Source organism: Homo sapiens, chromosome 4 (assembly GCF_000001405.40).
Source record: "Homo sapiens chromosome 4, GRCh38.p14 Primary Assembly".
NCBI lineage: Eukaryota > Metazoa > Chordata > Mammalia > Primates > Hominidae > Homo > Homo sapiens.
This window is the reverse complement of record NC_000004.12, coordinates 140,633,472-140,655,623: the sequence shown is the minus strand read 5'-3', so window position 1 is coordinate 140,655,623 and position 22,152 is coordinate 140,633,472. Positions and strand designations below refer to the sequence as shown.

The 22,152-nt window shown below is 45.3% G+C and overlaps 1 protein-coding gene and 1 pseudogene across 2 annotated transcripts in view, besides 1 other annotated feature; both read left to right on the top strand.

Moving 5' to 3' along the window:
* The window catches only part of TBC1D9 (TBC1 domain family member 9), a 135,604-nt gene that overhangs the window by 100,762 nt on the left and 12,690 nt on the right, over nucleotides 1–22,152 (top strand). Inside the window, exons 14-16 of the mRNA NM_015130.3 lie at nucleotides 16,196–16,294; nucleotides 16,470–16,538; nucleotides 21,436–21,676. Of these exons, the coding sequence (NP_055945.2) occupies nucleotides 16,196–16,294; nucleotides 16,470–16,538; nucleotides 21,436–21,676 (409 nt within the window). The remainder of the gene's footprint in view (nucleotides 1–16,195; nucleotides 16,295–16,469; nucleotides 16,539–21,435; nucleotides 21,677–22,152) is intronic.
* Nucleotides 11,357–12,030: an enhancer, noted in NCBI's record as "H3K4me1 hESC enhancer chr4:141564748-141565421 (GRCh37/hg19 assembly coordinates)". NCBI's record gives its function as "activates a minimal SCP1, AML or CMV promoter by ChIP-STARR-seq in primed H9 embryonic stem cells {active_cell/tissue: H9 hESC(primed)}" and the evidence as "EXISTENCE:reporter gene assay evidence [ECO:0000049][PMID:30033119]".
* On the top strand, nucleotides 12,544–14,433 carry TNRC18P1 (trinucleotide repeat containing 18 pseudogene 1; annotated as a pseudogene). Its single transcript, NR_077215.1, has one exon. The product of NR_077215.1 is annotated as a trinucleotide repeat containing 18 pseudogene 1 (transcript).

Here is a 22,152-nt window from a genome sequence, read left to right as displayed (position 1 = left end):
GCCCCAAGTGCTCATAACACTTGATGGTTTCTTCATTTCCTGATCCTTGATTCTCTAAACTTTTATAGAAATGATCACTGAGAAAGCCTGAGTATTCTGCTGAGCGCACTATGCTCTCTACAGGTGTTTTGTGATTTTGATTGGTGATTGTCATATTCCAGCTAGCAACAAAGTGGATAAGAGACAAATAGTGAGGAATGGAGTGAGATCAGAAAGTCTCTCTTAAAGTAAAAAATTTAGTGCTTTTAAAAAAAATTGCTATGGATATAGAAATCTTTTCAGAAATGTGTGTCCTTAACTCATAATAAGAGAAAGACTGGTAATTATTTTTTAAAATCTTCATTGAAACTCCATATATATTGAAAGCAAAATACTTTGTTTTAGAATCATAAAAGCAATACATGTTCATTTTAGAAATTGTAGGGAAATAGGAAGAAAAAAATAAACTGTATCCTATAAGCGTTTTACATTTCCCTTAAGTATGTTTTTATACTTACAACATACACTTTAAAAAAAAGTCCTTCTAAATACTTGCTCTGTCATTTTCTATGTATACCATGAGCATTCCCTAATATATTAAATATTATATGAAGGCATGATTTTACTAAATTGTATTCTGCTTTAATGAGGTAACAAAATTTATTTACCTAGTTCCCTTTTGTTAGACATTTACTTCGATTTCTTCCAAATTTTCAGTATTATATAGCATTCTAAGATAAACTTGTACCCAAATATCACATCTCTGATTATTGTCTTAGAATCCTAGAAATGAATTTACATTAAAAGTTTGGATTAAAAAAATTAGATTAAAAAAAAAAGAATGATCAAGCTATTGGCACACACTGTCTAATTTCCATGAAGGATGTCTCAATTTATGTTTCCACTATTGGAGATAAAGAATGAATGTTTCACCTTACTGTCTCCAAAACTATTTCCATATGCATTTAAAAAAGTCATCGCCCCAGGACTTTGGAATAGTACTGTATGATGTAAGCAAGAGCTTTTCTATCTGTGGGTTGCTTTTCTAAAGGAATCCTCAGACCTTTATTGTTAAAAGAATTCTGGACCAAGGTTTTGTGGGATATAATGGGGTTTCTCTTCAAATAATCTGATCAATCTTTTATTCTTTAATTCGTAGTACCCCCCCCCACCCCTTTCTTCTTTTTCTCCTTTTTTCTTTTTTCTTTTGTTAGATGCCTAGGCATGCCTCAGTACCAAGCATTATCAGTACCAGCTCACATTCCTTTCCTTATTTGGAAAGAGGACTAACTTTCTAGCTCATTACAGACACCCCCTTCCCCTTTCTCTCTACTTTCTTTTACTTACCCACCCTATCTAAAAAAATCAAATGTTTAGCCAACCGGGATTAGATTGTACAACCCGACCCCAGACAATGGGGAAAGGGTACAGGGGCAGGACTTGGTGTCAGGAATAAAGGCTCTCATGCCCTTTGTTCAGGTGTGCTCTCATGGCAACTGGCCAAGGAGGCACCCCTCTGTGCAGAAGTAAAATTGCTTTGCTAAGAATCTTTTGTTCAAGTGTTCAATTTCCTTAGGGTTTTGAGCGTTATTCCTAACAGTATTAAAGCTTAGTATGTGGCAACTCAGCTTTTTTCTCAACAGCAGATAAGCTAGCTTCATGCTGAAGTCAGCATTTTGCCCATTTTTAAAGCGAAAGCAAAGAAATTGAGACAAGGCCAACAGCTGATTTCCATTTACGTCTTCTTGGGCTGATCCCTAATGGTGGCCCTCAGGCTGCCAGACATCCTATCACAGGACAAAGCCGCAGTTCCCTTCCTCTGCCTGGAAAGACAATCCTTTTAATTTATATCAGTGCCTATATTACCAGGTCTTTCAGTGCGTGATAACTAGGTTTTTGTTTTCTCTTCTCTGCTTAAGTGTCACTACTCTGCTTATGTTTCCAGTGGCTCTCTAATGCCTTGTAGATCAACTTAAAGAGAACACCACGAACTCTTGCTGATTGTTTTTTTCCCTCCTAACCATTAAATTGGTGGTTTTCAATCCTGTCTGTGCATTACATCACTTAATTTTTTTTTTAAGCTAAGCTTTTAAAAACATAAACTCCTAGGCTCCATCCCAGACCAATTAAATCTGAATGTAGGCATGAAGCCCAAGAGTACATATATTTTAAGAAGTTTCCCTGGCGATTCCAAATGTCCGGTGAGGGTTGAGATTCACTGCGCTGGATGCAGAATGGGGCTAATCACTGATGTGGGTAAGAATCTGGTTTGGGCTCAGGCATGACACCTGAGTGTTCTAAGATACACAATGCATTTCTTTCTGTTCTTCAGGATAATTAGCCGTGACAATTGAAACATAGGAAAGAAATACTGAAAGCACATTCATCTTTTGAAATTTAGTTAAGGGCTCCCTAGGTTGCTAGAAATTAGTCTGATATTGATAACTTCGCTTCATAAATACCTCCTGGGGAAAATCTCACTCATTATAAGTTCCCCTAAGCCTCTGTTGAAAGGAATTGTGTAAGTGGTGTGAGACTCCAGTTTTCTTCTGTGTAGACCCTTGTGTGAAGCCCTGCACTTTGAGCAGAGTAATATAGAAGTAGAAGACAAAGTCCCAATCTTAAAGTTTGATTCATAGACTGAGATGCCCCTCCTGGAAGGCACAAGAGGATGTTAATAGGCCTTAAAGTGGGTACACAGCTATCACAGAGCTGCTTCATGTTCGAGATGACCCAGCCCAGTGTGTTTAGTCTGAAAAGTGTTAAGCAGGGAAAGGATGTGGCTAATAAAACAGAAGGCACAATCTGTGAAGATGGATAGGCATTTATGAAAGCTTAGAGTAATGTGTCTCTGGCTTATTAATGATTACTATAATAGCTATTACTCATCGAGAGCCTGCCATGTGTGGGGCAAGGTGCTGGGTGCCTTGTAGACAGCTCTGCCATGTAAATGTTAATGCATTTTAAGGTGAAAATGTAAGTTAAGAGAGGTTGAGCTAGTTGTTCCAAGCTGCACAGCTAGAAAGTGGCAGCCAGTATCCAAGGAAGAGCTCCCTTGCATTAAAGCCAGGACCAAGGGACTTTATTTGGATTAGAAGAGAGATGGAATTATGGATGTACCGATGGTCATGAGGTCAACTGGTCCAGTGGAGCTGGTTAGTAGGGAGTCTTGAAATCACTAATTGACTTGGAAGGCATCTAACAGCCACTGGAGACTGAAGAGCATTCTTCTTGAAGTACATTATCTCTGCTTCCTGTGCAACAAATTAGAGGAGGGGGAGAGCTGAAGGAATAGACAAGCAAAAAAGATAGTGTGGTTGTATATGGGAAAGACCCAGGAGATGCAAGAAACAGCATTTGTCTATTCATGTATTAACAAAATCTTTTTTTTTTTTTTTTTATTTGAGACAGGGTCTCCCTCTGTCACCCAGGCTGGAGTATAGTGGCTTGATCTTGGCTCACTGCAACCTCCACCTCCGGGGTTCATGTGATTCTCATGTCTCAGCCTCCCAAGTAGCTGAAACTACAGGCGTGCACCACCAAGGCTGGCTAATCTTTTGGTATTTTTGGTAGAGATGGGGTTTCACCAAGTTGGCTAGGTTGATCTCGAACTCCTGGCCTTAAGTGATCCATCCACCTCAGCCTCCCAAAGTCCTAAGATTACAGGCTTAAGCCACCGTGCCCAACCAAGGAAATCTTTATTTAAGATTGTATAAGCACCTTTCTTATGCCAGGTATCATGCTCAGCCCTGGGGATACATTATCAGCACTAGATATTTTCAAGCCCAGTATGAGCCAAAAGGATAACATAATACATTTCCTTTAACCCATCATCCAGTCCCAACAATTATCAACATTTTTCTGATCTTTGTTTTATTACTCCTCCCCACTTTTTTTCTTTTTTTCCTGAAGTAACTTAAAGCAAAGTCCAGACAGTGTATTATTTCACCTGTAAAAGAATGTATCTCTAACAGATAAATTCTTCATTATGTGTCTCTAACAGATAAGGTGAGTTTCGGCATGGCATTTTTTGCTAATCCATAGCTTTGAATTTTAAGTTTAATTTTTAAAAGTTTGTTTATACCTCAAAAGAAAATGTGGACCTATAAGTTAGTTCTCACCCGTTGTTAATGGAATCTCAGTTATAACATTAGCAAGTTTTGAGATTGTTTTGTTGTTATTGAGACAAGGTCTTGCCCTATCACCTAGGCTGGAGTGCAGTGGTGCCATCTCGGCTCACTCCAACCTCTACCTCCCAGGCTCAAGCCATCCTTCCAGCTCAGCCTCCTGAGTAGCTGGTACTGCAGGTGTGCACCACTACACCTGGCTAATTTTTGTCTTTTTTGTGGAGACGGGGTTTCACCATGTTGGCCAGGCTCATCTGATGAGCTCAAGTGATCTGCCCGCCTTGGCCTCCCAAAGTGCTGGGATTATAGGCATGAGCCACTGTGCCTAGCCAGGTTTTGCTGATTTTGAAAAGTGTTTTTTCTATCCTCTTCATCTTCCTCTTTCTTTTATCAACAATGCTGGGAATAATAAAAGCTACCATACTAATTGTTTTACCTATGTGTGCATAAAAGTCTTACACCATTCCAAAGAGGTAGGAATTATTTTCCCTATATTGCTGATGAAGAAGATGAGGGCCATCAGTTTTTATAAAATTTATGTGAAATCTGGGACTTGCTATGTGTCCCACTTGCTACATGTGGCTATGAAACTGTGCCTTTTCTACAATGTCCAGGTGTCAAAAGCATGTCTCCTTTATAGAGGCTGAACTTTACATTATTGGTGTGTATATAAAGAAAATAGAGGCCAGGCATGGTGGCTCACTCCTGTAATCCCAGCACTTTGGGAGGCCAAGGCGGGTGGATCACCTGAGGTCAGGAGTTGGAAGCCAACCTGGCCAACGTGGCAAAACCCCGTCTCTACTAAAAAGACAAAAAAATCAGCCAGGCATGGTGATGGGCGCCTGTAATCCCAGCTACTCGGGAGGCTGAGGCAAGAGAATCGATTGAACCTGGGAGGCGGAGATTGCAGTGAGCCAAGATCTCGCCATTGCACTCCAGGTTGGGCAACAAGAGAGAAACTCCATCTCAAAAAAAGAAAAAGTAAAAGAAAATACTCTAGAGCAGAATTACAAATTCACATGACTGTGGCGTCGCTCATCAAGGCACTTAACAATGGGGTAGGGAGTGAAGGTGGTAGGAAAGGGTGGGCTTCTGGAACTAGACAGCTGGAGCCTGCTAGAGTTGACAGTCTCTTTACCACCTGAGGCAAGGAACCATTGCTGCCAGAACTTTTAATTTTTCAAGAGAAGTTGGAACTCTTTGTTTTATTTGAAGATTACTGTTTTTTATAATACTCCCTGGGCCAAACAATATTCATCATGGACTTTCTAGCCTACTGGCTGCCTGTTCATGATTTCTGCTTTACAGCAACTTTCAAAATAAATTCTAGGTAAAAATATAGTGATACTGGGCACTGTGCTTAGAGTTATTTTTTGTAATTTAATCAGCAGCATGTTCACACAACAGCTAATAGTTTACATGGAGTATTGAAACTAAATGTTTTTTGTAATTTCCATATTTATGTGACAACTGTTTCTCTAGCCCTTTCTGGTAGACAAAAGATCTCAAAAGACATGGCACCTAAAGAAGCATAAAATATTAAATGATATATTTTTACGTAAAATATAAATACTGTATTCAAATATAAAATATGGGCCCACTTCTGGCAGAGTTATGAGGGTGTTCCCTGATGGGAATATAGTCATGGCGTGAGACTCTTTAGAGATCAGAGTACCCTAGAAAGGGCCACCCATTCAACGAACATGGGACTCCACCAGAGTTTTCTTCCCTGAATTCATATCCTTGTTTCTTCTTATCATCTCCTGCCTCCTCTGCCCCCCTCACCCTCTTCTTCTGCCCTCCTGAACATCTACTCCCCACCTAACACATAAGTACACAGGTGCAGACAGACGCCACCCCCATAGAAGTCAAGGGGGAGTGTGTGGGGCTGCTCCTTCGAAGCTCCCTGTGTGTGAGAATCCCTCTCTCGTCTCTTGGGCTCTGCCTCCTGTAATGTTAGGCTTTTCTATACCTAAAGCCTCACATTCCATCAATTTCTTCCCTCTCTCACCCAGTCATCCAAGGCAAAGCTTCATTTACTATCTTAAGTATTTGGAGTTTTTTCTGATCAAGGAATGTCTCAGGTGTCACTGGTGCTCAGCCTTCTGCTAACAGTAGTGAACCCCATTCTGCATACTGGGAAAATAACCCCACAAATTCAGAAACACCAAAGAGGCATTTTGAGCATAATTTGATGACCTAGTTTTATTTTAAAATAGAAATAAGCCATAGACTTTGCATATTAGAACCAATGCCTTCTTTTTATTTCAGTAAATTCCCCTGTGGTGGGCAGACTCATTCACATCATTCCATGGCCCTCTGGCCTACATTGAGCTTTGTTGTTGCTTTGCTGGGTGTTTTTTAAGCTGTAGCATTTAAATATTTCAAGTTCTCTTTGGAGGATTTAGAAAGGAAGGGCTGATTGAACTTGATTGAGCTTGACCTTGTGGTCAGTCTCTTTTAAAAATCTGTATCTGTTCTTCATCCATCCTTGTCTTCCCGGTAACACAGGGTAAGCTTTGAAGGATAAAGTAAATCACAGAAACACTGCCCAGCCTGGGCAGGGGAACTCTTGTTCCGCTCAGGAATGATGGTGGGGTGGGAGGAGCCAGAGAACATAAACTTGAGACAGACTCATCTCTACCTCATTGCTTTATCTGAGCTACTTGTTCCTTGTTCTAAGTCTGGGGGAGAGAAAGGGAACATCTGCAGGCAGGATGGGGGAAGGTGGTATGAAATGAAGGGCCACACACCTATTTGTTGGTTGGTATCAGTACCCACAGGGGCAAAGCAACAAAAAGAAGTACCGTCTGCTTTGAAAATTGCCTTTCTGGCCAGGTGCCATGGCTCACATCTATAATCTCAGTACTTTGGGAGGCCAAGGCGGGCAGACCACTTAAGCTCAGGAGTTTGAGACATGTCTGGGCAACATAGGGAGACTCCATCTCTACAAAAAATACAACAATTAGCCAGGCGTAGTGGCACATGCCTGTAGTCCCAGCTACTTGGGAGGCTGAGGTGGGAGGATCATCTGAGCCTAGGAGGTTGAGGCTGCAGTGAGCCGTGATCATGCCACTGCACTCCGTCTTGGACACTAGAGTAAGACCCTGTCTCAAAAAAAAAAAAAAAAAACAACAACAAAACTGCCTTTCTGCTCATAAAGATGTTAGAAATTAAACTGAAAAATTAGAAACAGGCCACAGAAACATTCAGATAAGAATTGAGTTGGATTACATCAAAACAAAATTTTTAAAATAGTTGAGTTGGATAAGAGATATAAACAAAGATGGATAATTGTGTTTATTGTTTAAGGAAGGGAAATTTTAGAAAATTAAAATAATTATAGGCTCCCTCACCTCCAGCACAAATTCTGTTTGCTGGAACAAGTATTATTGTGATATTAGTGAACTAGCACTTCTCAAGGAACTGGAATATGTGGTGCCTGAGAGAAGGTATTATATCCACACCTGTGTCTTTGTTTTGGGTAATGGGAAGTGTTGGCTGCAGCATTTACTGAGCCAAGTTTTGTTTGTCCTATTTTTAGCATTTAATTCTGGCAGAGCCCCTCCCAAAGTCGGGGGAGGGAGAGACCCCCCCCAAAGTCGGGGGAGGGAGAGACCCCCATGTCATTCTAATTGTTCACATTCCTTTACAAATCCTCCAGAAATAACCAAGCAGGAACTTGGAGTCCACGGTTTACATTTAGGTTGGGACCATTTGCTCCAGAGGGAAGGGCCACTGTGTTCTGTCTCTGGCAAGTTGCAGAGTCCTGGCTGAGGAAGGGGCCCTGCCTAACAAATAGCAGAATCCATTTCTAGTTGATATTAATTAGATCTAAGACACACGGGGCTCTTTGAATGTCAGGCTTGTGAGGAAATAGCTCTTTTGCTTGGCACCCTGCAAAAGATTACAAAGCCAATGTTTAATATTAGTTACTATTATTGGAACTTTATCTCCAACACAGTTTTACAAGGACAGCTTTGGGGTCTCATTTTATAGAGGAAGAAACAGGGTCAGAAGATTCAACTGAGTTGCCCACTCACATAGGTAATTAGTCAAAGAACAATAATTTGAATCAAATTTTGTCTAGCTCCAAAATTTATGTTCTTTTCAACCCAGAGACAAGGAAGAACTTACTGCCTATGATAGAATGGTAGTTGGTGGAGTTACAGAGCTATTTATCTGAGCCTCAGACCACTTGCAGCTCAGCCACTGTGGAACTCTGGGGGACTTAATTAACCTCTCCAAGCCTTGGTTTGCCCATTCGCAAAACAGAGGTAGCAGTCTAGACTCACTAAAGTTATTGTAAGGTGCAAATGAGATGGCATGTTAATGTCCCTAACAATTGTAGGTACAATAAAACTGTCTTTCCTTCTGTCTCACAGCTAGTGTTTTTTATTGATCACAGGCATCCTATGGCCCAGTTTGAAGTAATAAATCCAGTTCTTCATCAGTAGGCATGTAATTTGCAATGGATGCTCACTGCTTTTCTGTTTGGATCAAAATACTTACCTTCCTTGAAAGTTTTTCTTTCCTAGCCAAAGATAAAACCCCATAGTGAATTAAATATGATTGCTTTTCATCATTAATGGCAGCCCCTACTAACTCTTGAATTCCAGCTTTTCAGTGCAAATAAATATTGCATCTTCATTGTTGAGAAGAATCTGATTCCACCTTTGGAAGGCACTTCCTTGGAGATAAGAAGTTTCTTCCATAAATCCTGCTTTTGTAAGGTTGAGACCCACTCACCACATTGCTGGTGGAACATGGACTGGGAAGATTCAGAGATGTCAGTGTACTCTTTTGCTCTGATTATCTGAAAGGAATGCCTGGGTCATTCCTTTCAATTCCCTGGATTAGTCCTTCCAAAACAGAAAGTAAAAGGTACTAGAAAGGCATAGTCTTTTTTGCTGTAAACTCCAACTTAGGAAATAGGATAGTTTAGAGTCCACTACACAGACTGATCTATAGAGTGGTGCTATTTATAGGGATGTCAGAAAAAAATACAGGATTAATTAATATTGATTGGGATATACTTATAGTAAAAAAGTATTCATTGTTTTCCTGAAATTCAAATTTAACTGGGCATCCTGTATTTCCTATGCTTTTATTCATTGAATCTGGCATCCCTAGCCAGTTATTGGGTGCCTACTGTGCTGTGCAGCAAGTCAGAAAGGTAAGGTGCCAGGGAGTTTCCCCGGGATGGAGCTAAGAGCACGAGTTCTCAAATCAGACGACCTGGGTTTGAACTTAGCTTTGCTGCTTACCAGCTGTGTAGACTTGGGCAAGTTAATGATTTTGGCTAAACTACGATTTCTTTGTCTCTGAAATGGGGATAGGAAGAGCACTTACTTCCTGGAATGATCATGAGGACCCCCTAAGTTCAGCAAATATTTGTTGAGCACTTACATGTGAATCAGCACTGTCCTCGGCTCATGTCCTGGTCACACAGTCTCTGCCATAGAGTAAGTGGTGATAGATTTACTAAGCAAAAACAAACCAACAAACAAAAACAAATGCAAAGTGGTGCTAAATTCAAGTAAGAAGGAACATGGCACAGTGAAGGGTGGGGACATACTGTTTCTCTGAGCGTTTATTGTTCTGGTGAGATGACAATTAGCAGAGACACAGATGCCATGGAGGACCGAATACAGTGCTGTCTGAGAGAAGCACAGAGGGGGCAGCCAGCAGCCGGTGCTCAGGCCGTGGCTGGCAGGGAGCCTGCATGATGCACTTGGGGAACATGAAGAGGCCACTAGAACTAATGAGTAAGAAGAGGTTGGTGGTGGCTGGTCAGAGAGGGCATTGTGAAAGGTGGAAAGAGCATGAAGGGCTTAGAGGCCTTGGAATTTTATCCCAAGAGAGGATGAAAAATCACTGGAATTTTAAACAAAGGAAGAGTGTTGTCTGACTCTGGTTTTAGAACCATTCTTACTACTGGGGGAAGATAATGATGCATGCCTGGAGGAAGTGCGGAGATGTATATAGAGGCTCTCGCAAGAGAGGATAGTGGCTTAGGGGTAGTTAAAAGTGGAGATGATAGCAGTGGGCAGGGGCCCGCAGCTGAAGCGCGACCCAGAGAGGCCGGAGAGTGCCAAGGCATTTGGATGCGCGGGCTCTGGTGTCCAGGGTGAAGCAGAAGTGCGACACCCGCCTGTGGGCATTGCAGAAGGATAGTGGCAGCAGTGGCTGGCTGGGGCCTGGGCTGGCAGACCAGGAGCACCCTCTGTCACTGAGTAATGTGAAAGAGCACAGCCAAGCAGATGAGGACTGTGTGGACACCGGGCCAGACACCAGGAGTAATGGCTGCTGGGGGCCTGGCTGGACTGAGATCAGGAGAAGCTGCTCAGAGAGAGTAATGAGCTGGCTGACCTGGCCCACGTGCACCCTACCAGCTGTGCTCCTAAAGGCCTGAACCCCAACCTCCTGGTGACCTGGGGCCCAGTGCTGGCAGGCTCCGGTTGCTGGTCTGTGGACCCCGCAACCCATCTGGCCACGCACCCCTGGTTGTCCCGCTCGGGCAGCATGTCCATGTGGCTTGCCGGACACCCCTGGGGCTTGGGACCTCCATCTCTGCACTAGGGCATGGCCCCTGCGTTCCCACCCAGCCTGGGGGCTCCCTGCTGTCGCCCTACCAGTTTGTCAGGGACTCCCAGTCGGGCCAGCTGTTGGTCATTCCCAGAGATCACCTGCCTCACTTTGCGGAGCTGATGGAGCGGGCCACCGTGCTGCCCCTTTGCCCCGCCCTGTACTCTCCAGGCTGCAGCCCCCTGCACCAGGCCCAGCAGTTGCAGCTCTTTTCGCTGCAGCACTTCCTGCAGCTGCAGGAGTTCCTGTACCTGCAGCAGCGGGCGGCCCAGGCCCTGGAACTGCAAAGAAGCACCCAGCTGGAGCGGCTGAAGGCGCAGAGGAGTACCAGGCAGAGATGGAGGAGAAGTGGAGCAACTGGGGCCTGGGGGCCGGGGGCAAGGCTGGCCTGGCCACCGCTTGCCCTGGGATGCTGCTGCGAAAGCCCCCCGCCTGGCTGCCGGCCCTGCGAGCATCTATGGCAAGGCGGTGAGCCCGCCGCCATCGCCCCGCGCGTCCCCCATGGCCGCCCTGAAGGCCAAGGTCATCCAGCCGCTGGAGGACGTGTCCAAGGCGCCTGCCTACACCTACCCTGCTACCCCTAGCTCCCACCCCACCAGCCTGCCTCCCCACTCCCTGCTGTCCACCCCGGGTATCACCCGCAAGGAAGAGACCCCCGACAACGTGGTCGAGAAGAAGGACTTGGAGTTGGATAAGGAAGCCCCCAGCACTTTCCAGGCCTTGTTCTCAGATATGCCGCCCAGGTATCCGTTCCAAGCCCTGCCACCACACTACGGGAGGCCCTACCCTTTCCTGGGGCAGCCCACAGTGGCCGCCGATGCGGATGGCCTGGCCCCTGATGTGCTGCTCCCAGCTGATGGGACCAAGCGCCTGACACTCTCGCCCGAAGACAAGCTCATCCTCCTGTCCCCCTCCAAGATCCCAGAGCCGCTGCGGGAGGACCCGGAGGAAGAGCCGCTGGCTGAACAGGAGGCGAAGGTGGAGGTGGAGGATGTGGACGAGCGCCCCGCAGAGCTGCCGCCTCTGGAGTTGCCGCTGCCACTGCCCGCCATGGAAACCATGGCTACCCCGAGCCCTGCAGGCGGATGCAGAGGTGGCCCGTTGGAGGCCCAGGCGCTGAGTGCCACCGGGCAGGGCTGCACCGAGCCCTCTGAGTGCCCAGACTTTGCGGAGGGGCCTGAAGCATGCGTGGATTCCCCGGGCCGGACAGAACCCTGCACGGCCGCATTGGACCTGGGGGTGCAGCTGACACCCGAGACGCTAGTGGAGGCCAAGGAGGAGCCAGTGGAGGTGCCTGTGGCGGTTCCTGCGGCAGAGGCAGCGCCGGAGGAAGGCCTGGCCCAGGCGGCCCTGAGCGAGCCCCAGCCCAGCCTAGAAATGTCAGACTGTGACGTGCCCGCCGGGGAGGGAGAGTGCCCGAGACTGGAGCCCCGGGAGGCCGTGCCTGTGCCCGGCAGCACCTGCTACCTGGAAGAGGCAAGCTCTGAGCAGTTCCTGCCCGGCCTGGAAGACCCACTGGCTGGCATGGAGGTGGCCATGGAGCTGCCCCAGGCCAGGCCTCTGCCCTCCCCAGGTGCTACTGGAGTCCAGGCCTTGGAGAAGCAGGAAGCTGCCGAGAGCCTTGTCTTGGAGCAGAGCTTTCTGCACGGCATCACCCTGCTGAGCGAGATCGCAGAGCTGGAGCTGGAGAGGAGGAGCAAGAAGGTGGGAGGTGCGGAGCGGGCCCTGGTGGCTCGGCCCTCACTGGAGAGCCTGCTGGCAGCCGGCAGCCACATGCTGAGGGAGGTGCTGGATGGGCCCGTGGTGGGACCCGCTCAAGAACCTGCGGCTCCCACGGGAGCTGAAGCCCACAATAAGTACAGCTGGATGCGCAAGAAGGAGGAGCGGATGTACCCCATGAAGTCCTCCGTGGAGGACATGGACGTCCTGGAACTGGACTTCAGAATGTGGCGGGCCGAGGTCCAGCACCAGTACAAGGAGAAGCAGCATGAGCTGGTGAAGCTGCAGCGGCGCCGGGACTCCGAGGACAGGCACGAGGAGTCCCATGGAAGCTTGGCACGCAGGCCGTGGAAACAGACCCACGCCCCCGAGAGCCCTGTCGCCCGCCCGCAAGAGGGGGAAGAACTGCAACAGTAGCGGAAAGCTGAGCAGCAAATCTCTGCCGACATCAGATGACTATGAGCTGGGAGCAGGAATAAGGAAGAGACACAAAGGGCCCAAGGAGGAACACAATGCCCTTATTGGAACAGGGAAAGCCAGGGAGAGGAACCAGACTTGGGATGAACACGAGGCTTCGTCTAAGTTCATAAGTCAGCTGAAGATTAAGAAGAAGAAGATGGACAGCGACCAGGAGCAGTTGGCAAGCAAGCTCGACAAAGGCCCTCTCCCTCACCAAGCAGGACAAGTTGAAGTCACCCTTCAAGTTTTCAGACAGTGCTGGGGGGAAATCAAAAACTGGCAGGGGCTGCAGCAAGTACTTAACTCCTTATGACAGCCTGCTGGGCAAGGACAGGAAGGTGCTGGCCAAGGGCCTCCGGCCTGTCTCTGAAATCTTCCAGAGAAGGTAAACACAAAAGGGCCGCCAAAGCCAGGAAGATAGGGGTGGGGTTCAAGGCCAGAGGCCAGCCCAAGTCGGCCCATTCCGCGTTTGCCTCCGAAGTGAGCAGCTACTCTTACAATACAGACTCAGAGGAAGACGAAGAATTCCTGAAGGAGAGTGGCCCGCCCAAGGCCCCTCCGGCTAGCTCCAAACTGATGCCTTCCCTCCTGTGTGGCATGGTGGCAAAGGACAGCAAGGCAGCTGGCGGCCCCTAGCTGACCAAGAGGGCCTGGCACACACCCCCTCCTCCGCCCCCTCCCGGACTCTGAAACCTAAGCCAGCCACCAGCAGGAAGCAGTGGTTTTGTTTGCTGCTTCGAGAGGCTAAGGTGCATTCCTCCTTCAGCGACTCTTCGGAAGATTCATTTGACTAAGGTTACTATCTCCAAACACAAAATACTTTCTGTGTTTCCTAGCGAGAGAGTGCCTGCGAGTGAGCGAGAAGGAAGCGAGTGGGCGCACGGGAGAGATGGGGGGTGAGGAGGCCCGTGCGGATGGCCGCAGGAAGGCCGCCATCTGGGTTCTTGGCAGTGTAGCCTGCTGTATCGGCCAAATTATTTTTATTTTTGCTTTGATTTGTACTGTATCGTTGTGATAATATCGCCGGCTAGCTCTTTTTGAGCTGTTATATGGACTGCTTCTGAGTCTGCATTTTTCTCCACTTTCCTTCCTCTCCGCCCTCCTCCCCCTACCCCGAGTTCCTCCCCACCCCCATACTCACCTTTTCTGCCCACCCAGAGACCCCAGGCTGTGGTCAGGCTCTCTTTGGGCACGGGCCCAGTGGGGGCTTCCCGAGAAACATTTTATAAATGGAATTCTGTCATGTGGGCGTGTGACTTGATGTTTGTACTGCGATTTTGATAATACCAAACTTTATTAAACATACTGAGTTCATTTTTAACAACAACAATAAAACAAAAAGTGGAGGTGATAAAAATGGTTGCAAATTCCTGGGGAGTAGGTATTGATAAAGAGGTCAAAGGCTCACAAAGGCACTCTTTTTAAAGCCTCTGTTTTAATACACTCATGTAACTGTTTACTCAGATCAAAAGATAGAACGTGCTAGCAACCTGGAAGTGCCCCTTGTGCCCCTTTCATATCACTGTCCATCCAACCATGGTTAATAAATCTCCAGACTTCTAAAAGCGTAGATGATCTTTGATTTCTTTTGAACTTGATACAAATGGAATCTCACGGAATATGCTCTTTTGCTTCTGTTTTTTTTTGTTTTTTTTTTTTTTGCTTAGTATTATGATTGTAAGATTTAAATATATTGTTCTTTTTATTGCTGCAAAATAGTTGATTATGTGATGATATTGCCATTTCTTTATCCATTCTGTGCATGAGCATTTGAGTGGTTACTGACTTTTGGTTAATAGTGTCACTATTAATATTCTAGCATATGTCTTTCGGTAAAGTAAAATAAATCTATATATATATAGCATATATGTATATGCTTCTTGGGGGGGTTATATACTTAGTAGTGGAATATGAGAATGTTCAGTCAGTAGATACTGCCAGACAGATTTTCAGAACGGTTGTAGCAACTGATACTCCAACCAGCAGTATATAAGAGTTTTGGTTGCACTATATCTTTACCAACACTCGATGCTGTTTGTCAGCTTTTTCTTTATCCTTTAAATATGCGAAAGGAAAACAAAATCTCAGGACCCCAAACTCAGTTTGCCAAAGGGAAAAGTTACGCTTGGAAATTGAGTCTTGCAAAAAGCTGCCTTTCCTTTTGTTCCTAGACAGATAGCTGCAAGATAGACGGCCTCATGTCTCCCAAGGGGGCCTCCCTCACCCTGACAATGTAAATTAACAGCTCTTCACAGGTACAAGACCACAGAAGACTAGAAATCACCCCCACCTACTCCCCCCCCCACCCCACCACCCTAAGATAAGGTCATATTTGTCATCTTCCTCTACGTTTATCTTATGTAAAGTGCAGATTTACTGAGCGCCAGACAAATGCAGAGTTGACTGTTCCCTCTTCCCCACCTTTTCACACAACATGTGATACCCTCCCTCTTTTTTTCCCTTTCCCCTTTCTTCCCCCTGTTGCCCCTTTTCCCCTTTAAATATTGAAGTCCTAAAAACCTTCCCTGGAAAAAGTGCAAGCCACATAGCCTCCTGTGACTTGCATCTCTTTCCCAGGCATTTCCTCAACCTTGGCAAAATAAACCTCTAAACTGATTGAGACCTGTCTCAGATACTTTTTTGGTTTCCAAATATATTTAACTATTGCAGTCACTGCTTCCATGGGTTAAGCTTCATACTTTAACCAGGGTTTCTTTGTCTTTCTTTTGCATCCCTAAGATATATAAAATCTTACAAATTCTTTCTCTGCCTTCAGATAGAAAGACTGGTTTGGCTTTTGACAACAAACATTTAGGGGGTACGAAGGAGCTTGAAGAGATGGCTAGCTCACAGTGTCTGCCATCAGGAGACACATAGCATGCATTTCTGGGCCAGATGGACAAATGCTCTTGAACCTACTGGTCAGGAGCAGGGAGACTCACACAGGGTTGGAGGTTTCTTCCAATCTTCTAGTCTAATTGTTAGCCTTAGACCTTTCTGCTAGTTGAGAAGATTCTTTCTTTGAAGCATTTGTTCATACACAAGTAGCCTTATTTAGCCCTTCTTGACAAACTTGATGACTTAAGGAAAATACATTTGACTCTGAAATTTAATTCAGCTGCTGAGCTGCCTGAGAATTTCCAGATATTTATTTCTGATTGCTCGGTGGCTTTAAAACAGTAGCTAAAGGTGTACTGTAGGATGCCCATCATATGAGAAGTCATTTCTTTGATGTGTCAAGAGTGTGTTGCAGGCATTCTGCAGACAGGACATTGTGTGCTGTAAGAGATTTTTTCAGAGACACCAATATTGCTCCTTTACAGAAATTCGGAACTATCCGGGCAGATTTGATTGAACAGATGAGATTCAAACAGAGACTGAAAGTGATCCAGACGCTGGAGGATACTACGAAACGCAACGTGGTAAGTCCTTTAAGAAGTAGCAGGCAACCTCTGTCATCTTCCTTCTTCACACTCCTGCTGGCTGTGGATTCCTGCCTGACAGAACTGAAAACAATTTGAAAGGGAAAAATTAGGGATTTTCCCAGCATGGCACTTTTTGAGTTTGTGAAATTCATTTTGCTTAATATTTTTATAGGTACGAACCATTGTGACAGAAACTTCCTTTACCATTGATGAGCTGGAAGAACTTTATGCTCTTTTCAAGGTGAGTTGCAAGGTAAATTCATGCCCATTCAAAGGAGTAAAGGAGTTCACCTTAATAATTCAGTTAGTTCTTGATTTTTCTGTTAAATTAAGGGATAATATAAATAGGAAGCTAGAGCTGAGAGTACAAAACTGTAGTACTTAATATGAAAATAAACATTCTTATAACCAATTTAAGTTGATGTTTTAGTTACCTTGCACTCCATATAATATTCTAGTTGTTTACTTGAACCTAAAAAAATAGGTTATTGCTTCATAATACTTATTAAAAACAATGGTGATCAAGTTTAAGTTCTGCTTGAATTATTGCAAATTGTGATTGCCTATGTTAAGCTATAAAAACACCCTTATGTAGTTAGAATAAAGTTGTTTAAGTGCCCAAGGAAAAGCATAATTGGTTAAATTTCTGTGATTTTCCTTTCCTAATTCAGCCCCTACCAATCTTTATTTTTTTATTTTTATTCTTTTTTGAGACGGAGTCTTGCTCTCACTCTGTTGCCCAGGTACAGCTGGGATTACAGGCGCACACCACCACACCCGGCTAACTTTTATATTTTTCTTTTTTCTTTTTTTTTTTCTTTTTTTTTAGTAGAGATGGGGTTTCACCATGTTGGCCAGGCTGGTCTTGAACTCCTGACCTCCACCTCGACCTCCCAAAGTGCTGGGATTACAGGTGTGAGCCACCACACCTGGCCCCAATCTTGATTCTTAATAAGAAAGTATTATGGTCATAAATAAAGCAAAGTACAATTTTTTCGTTTGGAAAAAAATATTTTTGTCATAGGTATCATCAGCATCAGAGGTTAAAATGTGATAATCAACAGGAAAAAAAGTTTAAAATATGCCTTTTATGCAGGTGCCAATTTCATCACAATTTCTAATTACCATCAGAACTAAATTTGGCTGTTTTGAGAATTGCAAAGATAGTACAGGAGGAAATAGAAACGAACATAAAAACTAGAACACTGGTATTCTACGTCTTACAGTCAGAAAATGTGGTTGCTTAGGACTGCCCTTGCTGATGTCGCCCACTGCCTGTTCACCACTGGAGGGCACCACTGTTTTATTTATGTTGGTGTCACTAGTGCCTGGTAAAGTGCACTAGTACTAATACTAGAGTCTCTGCCTTTGTAGGTGTTCCAAACATGTGTGTTGAATTAATAGATAAATTAGTGATTAGTTCTCAATATAACACAGTCCCTGCATTTTTCTGACGAGGAAACCGAAGCCCAGAAAGATGGAGGCACTCCGGGTGTCCAGGCTGGTTGGTGGTGCGCTTGGTGCAGCATCAGCATTATCAACAGAGTGGACAGTGGCACCCCTGCCAGCCTGCATCCGGCACTTGAGGGTGCAGTCTCTGTGGTGTGCCAGCTCATGAATATTTTATTCGTACATGTTAAGCACCTGTAGCTAATTGTTCCACATAGTGTAAGTTGGAGATCCGTAAGGCAGGAGAAAACAATGATGCAATTCAGATCAGGTTTTTAAGGGATGCTGAGGACCAGAAGAAACGTTCTCAGGGCATGGGGGCAGGGCCAGGATTCTGGGGGGAGCTAAACGAAGTGGAAGTAGCAGCTGGAGGCAGCAAGAGCATGGACAGGTAAGAGAAAGGACTGTGACAGCGGACAGAGGAGGCTGACTCGGGGAAAGCAAAAGAAGGAGGACCAGGGCTGGCTGTACAGAAGTCCTGGATCTGGTAGTCATTGAAATCACATCTTTTTTTTTTTTTCCTTCTTTGAGACGGAGTCTCGTTCTGTCACCCAGGCTGGAGTGCAGTGACACGATCTCGGCTCACTGTAGCCTCTGCCTCCCAGGTTCAAGCGATTCTCCTGCCTCAGGCTCCCGAGTAGCTGGGAGTACAGGTGCCTGCCACCATGCCTGGCTGATTTTTGTATTTTTAGTAGAGGTGGGGTTTCACCATATTGGCCATGCTGGTCTCGAACTCCTGACCTTGTGATCTGCCTGCCTTGGCCTCCCAAAGTGCTGGGATTACAGGCATGAGCCACTACGCCCAGCTGAAACCACATCTTAACCTGGGCACTGCTGCGCTCTCTGGTCTGTGTACCTTCAGATAACAGCCGTGTCATTTGAACCCTGAGAATATGCTGAGGAAAGCAGTTTTCTTATACTCAAAACCCTGCCCTAAGGGTGTGTTGAAAACACAGGTTCCTCAGCTGTATTGAGGACCCAGAAGAACCTGAGACTCGGTTGGTGTCAGGTGGGACAGAGTCTCTTCTACTAAAGAATCCAATATAAAACTTCAGTTATGGACACTTCATGGAATCATTGCAACACTTCAATTGGCTCTCATTCATCTTCTCAAACATTTATTAAGTCATCACTATGTGTTAGTTACCCTGCCAGACTTCTTAGTACTTTAAAAAGCCAATTTCTAGAGACAGGTGCAGTAGCTCACATCTGTAATCCCAGGTACTTGGGAAGCTGAGGTGGGAGGGTGGAGTGCTGGAGCCCAGGAGTTCTAGACCAGCCTGGGCAACATAGCAAGACCCATCACTAAAAAATATATATTTTTTACATTAGCCAGGCATGGTAGCATATATTTGTAGCCCAGAGGCTGACGTAGGAGGATCGTTTGAGCCCAGGAGGTCGAGACTGCAGTGAGCCAGGATCACACCACTGCACTCCAGCCTGGGCAACAGAGTGAGACCCTGTCTCTTAAATTTTTTTTTTAAGGAAGTCGATTTCTGGGTATTTTTCTGGAGATACAAAGGAATGATGTAGTCCTCCTCCCAAGGAGCTTACTGCACAGACTTTTGGATAGAACTTGAGGAGAAAAGGTTAAAGAATGCACCTTAAGGCAGATTTCATGGAAAATGTGGTTCAGGGGCCCTTTGCCCTGGTTTCTCTTGAACTCTTTCCAAATTAGCCCTTCTGTTTCAATCTCTGGGCCCATAGTCCCCAAATGATGGTCTGTGGGCTCTCAGCAAGGAACAAGGGAGATGATCTGAAGGGCATGTTTTATCCTAATGGTTGTGAGCACCATGAAAGTGCCTGCACCCATGTTCAGGCCAGGTTCAGAGCAACTTGGGGTGCTTAGGAGGAAATGCTTTGGGTAACCTTTGTCAACCGATGTAGCTCAGGTTAAGGGGTTCCCTCCCGGAATATATCCCCAACACCATGCTGCCCACAGAGGGCTGCTGGGCTCCACTCATGCTCGTTCAGAGTACAGCTCAACCCAGCAGGCCACTCTGACCTCAGCTTCTGCCTCCCTGCCACTGACACACCCGCCTCCACCCTGCAGCCAGGAATGCAGTCCCAGGAATGCAGTCCCAAAGCCCACGGAACTTTGACACAGTTTCCTTTATTCTCTCAAGGTCGCCTTGCAAAAAACCTGACTGGTTCTGCTCACCACCTCTCCTTCCTCCTCTCTTCCCTACTCCCACTCCTCTTTTTAGCTTTTTCACTACAATTCCCAATAAACAATTGTGAAAAGACATTGATCTTCTTTGCTCCTTTTCTAAGGGAGAGCAAAATAGAAATATAACATACTCACAATTGACTCTCCTCTTTTTCAGAAACCCTAGGGAAAAGAGAAGGATTTTCAAAAGTAATTTTTCTTTCTTCTTTTTTAGTTTTATTTTTTTAAGACAGGGTCTCACTCTGTCACCCAGGCTACAGTGCAGTGGCACCATCCCGGGTCACTGCAGACTTGACCTCCTGGGCTCAAACTATCCTCCCACCTCAGCCTCCCAAGTAGCTGGGACTACAGGCATGTGCCACCATGCCCAGCTACTTTTTAAACTTTTTTTTCATAGAGACAGGGTCTCAGTATGTTGCCCAGGCTGTTCTCTAATTCCTGGGCTCAGGCGATCCTCTCGCCTGGCCTCCCAAAGTGCTGGGAATATAGGAATGAGCCACTGCACCTGGCCAAAGGTGTTTTTTTTTTCTATTACCATATTTATTCGTGCTTATAGTGAAATATTCAGACAATACAATATGGAAAAAGTAAAAACGAAGTCCTCCTTTTTATGCTCCTCCTTTCTCCCCCACCTGCCACCCAGAGTTAACTATAAATGCCTGTGTGGGGTTGAGGGTGTTCTTTCAGAACTTTCTAGCGCATGCTTTTTTGTGTGGTCTTCCTAAAAGGAGTGGATATTTCTACCAGAGTCACCATGACCTCATGAATAAAGAGGCTGCCTTTTTTCCAAGGCCAGCAACAGGAAGCCCTTTGCTGGGTCTGGATCTCTATTCTGCTCGCCGGAGTGGTTCCTACGCTGATAATTTTTCTAGAGCTATTCACAGATGTGTGAAATTGGATGACCACACACTTGTAGGTTGAATACTGTGTGACTGTGATCTTATTTATGTGATTTTGGTGAGCAGGGAAGCAGGGGGTTATGTATGATACATGGGACATTAAAGCGGGAGTTAAGAAACACAAAATCTCATCATGATTCTGCTTTAACTGGTTGGTTAACCTCATATGAGCCACATAAAGTCTGGATTTTACCATTGTCACCTAGAAAACAAGGCGGTCACATTACCTAAATTCCTATCTTTTTCAAGTAGCATTCTATTTAAGCTAAAAAATTTCTTTCTCTTTATGGGAGTTAGTTCTAAAATGTATGTGAGTGTGTAGGTAAGGGGGAAGAGAATGTGGTGGGGGAGAGTTCCCTTTCTTTCTTCACCTACACCCAGTAATTGAAGCAGACCTTCCAGATGTAAACTGCAGAAGTGGTTGGTGTGGAGGCAGTGAAGGGCTGGTCAAGTGGAGGTGTATGTAGAACTAAGAGACCAAGGGGGCCCTGAGGCCACAGCCCTGCCCCAGGGGATGCACACAGATTCACCTAAAGCCCTTTCCAAACTGGAGGATGGGCGTTTTCTTTCTGGTATTTGCTGCAAAAGAGGGTCCCCAGTGATCATCCATTCTTTTTCAGGCAGAACATCTCACCAGCTGCTACTGGGGCGGGAGCAGCAACGCGCTGGACCGGCATGACCCCAGCCTGCCCTACCTGGAACAGTATCGCATTGACTTCGAGCAGTTCAAGGGAATGTTTGCTCTTCTCTTTCCTTGGGCATGTGGAACTCACTCTGACGTTCTGGCCTCCCGCTTGTTCCAGTTATTAGATGAAAATGGAGACTCTTTGATTAACTTCCGGGAGTTTGTCTCTGGGCTAAGTAAGGACGTGGTACTATTGCATGAGTTGGGATGGGATGCTGGAGTTGTGCCTAGTGTTGCCCATGCTGCCCTCAGGGCTACAGAAGCACAAGGGGAGGTTTGCAAACTGATTATAAAATGTGTTTTTCATGAACATAGTATATGGATAAATCGTTGCCTCTACATCAGACAGCCCTCAACACTAGTTAAAAGTACATTATTAGAGAATTCACAAGACAATGAAATGCCAACATAAACACTGAAACCACAGACGAGATAGTTTTACAAGAGACAAATGTTTGGGTTGGTGGATTACTACTATTTGACAAAAAAAAATAGAATATTTTATTGAATATATTATATATAATTGCATAAAACATCTATTTCATAGTAAATTTTATATGTAATTTCATACTTTCATAAAACATTATGAAATGTTTTTAATAAAGGAGCATCACAGCAGCCCTGCGGCCTAAATGGAAGTCTTTTCTCTCCC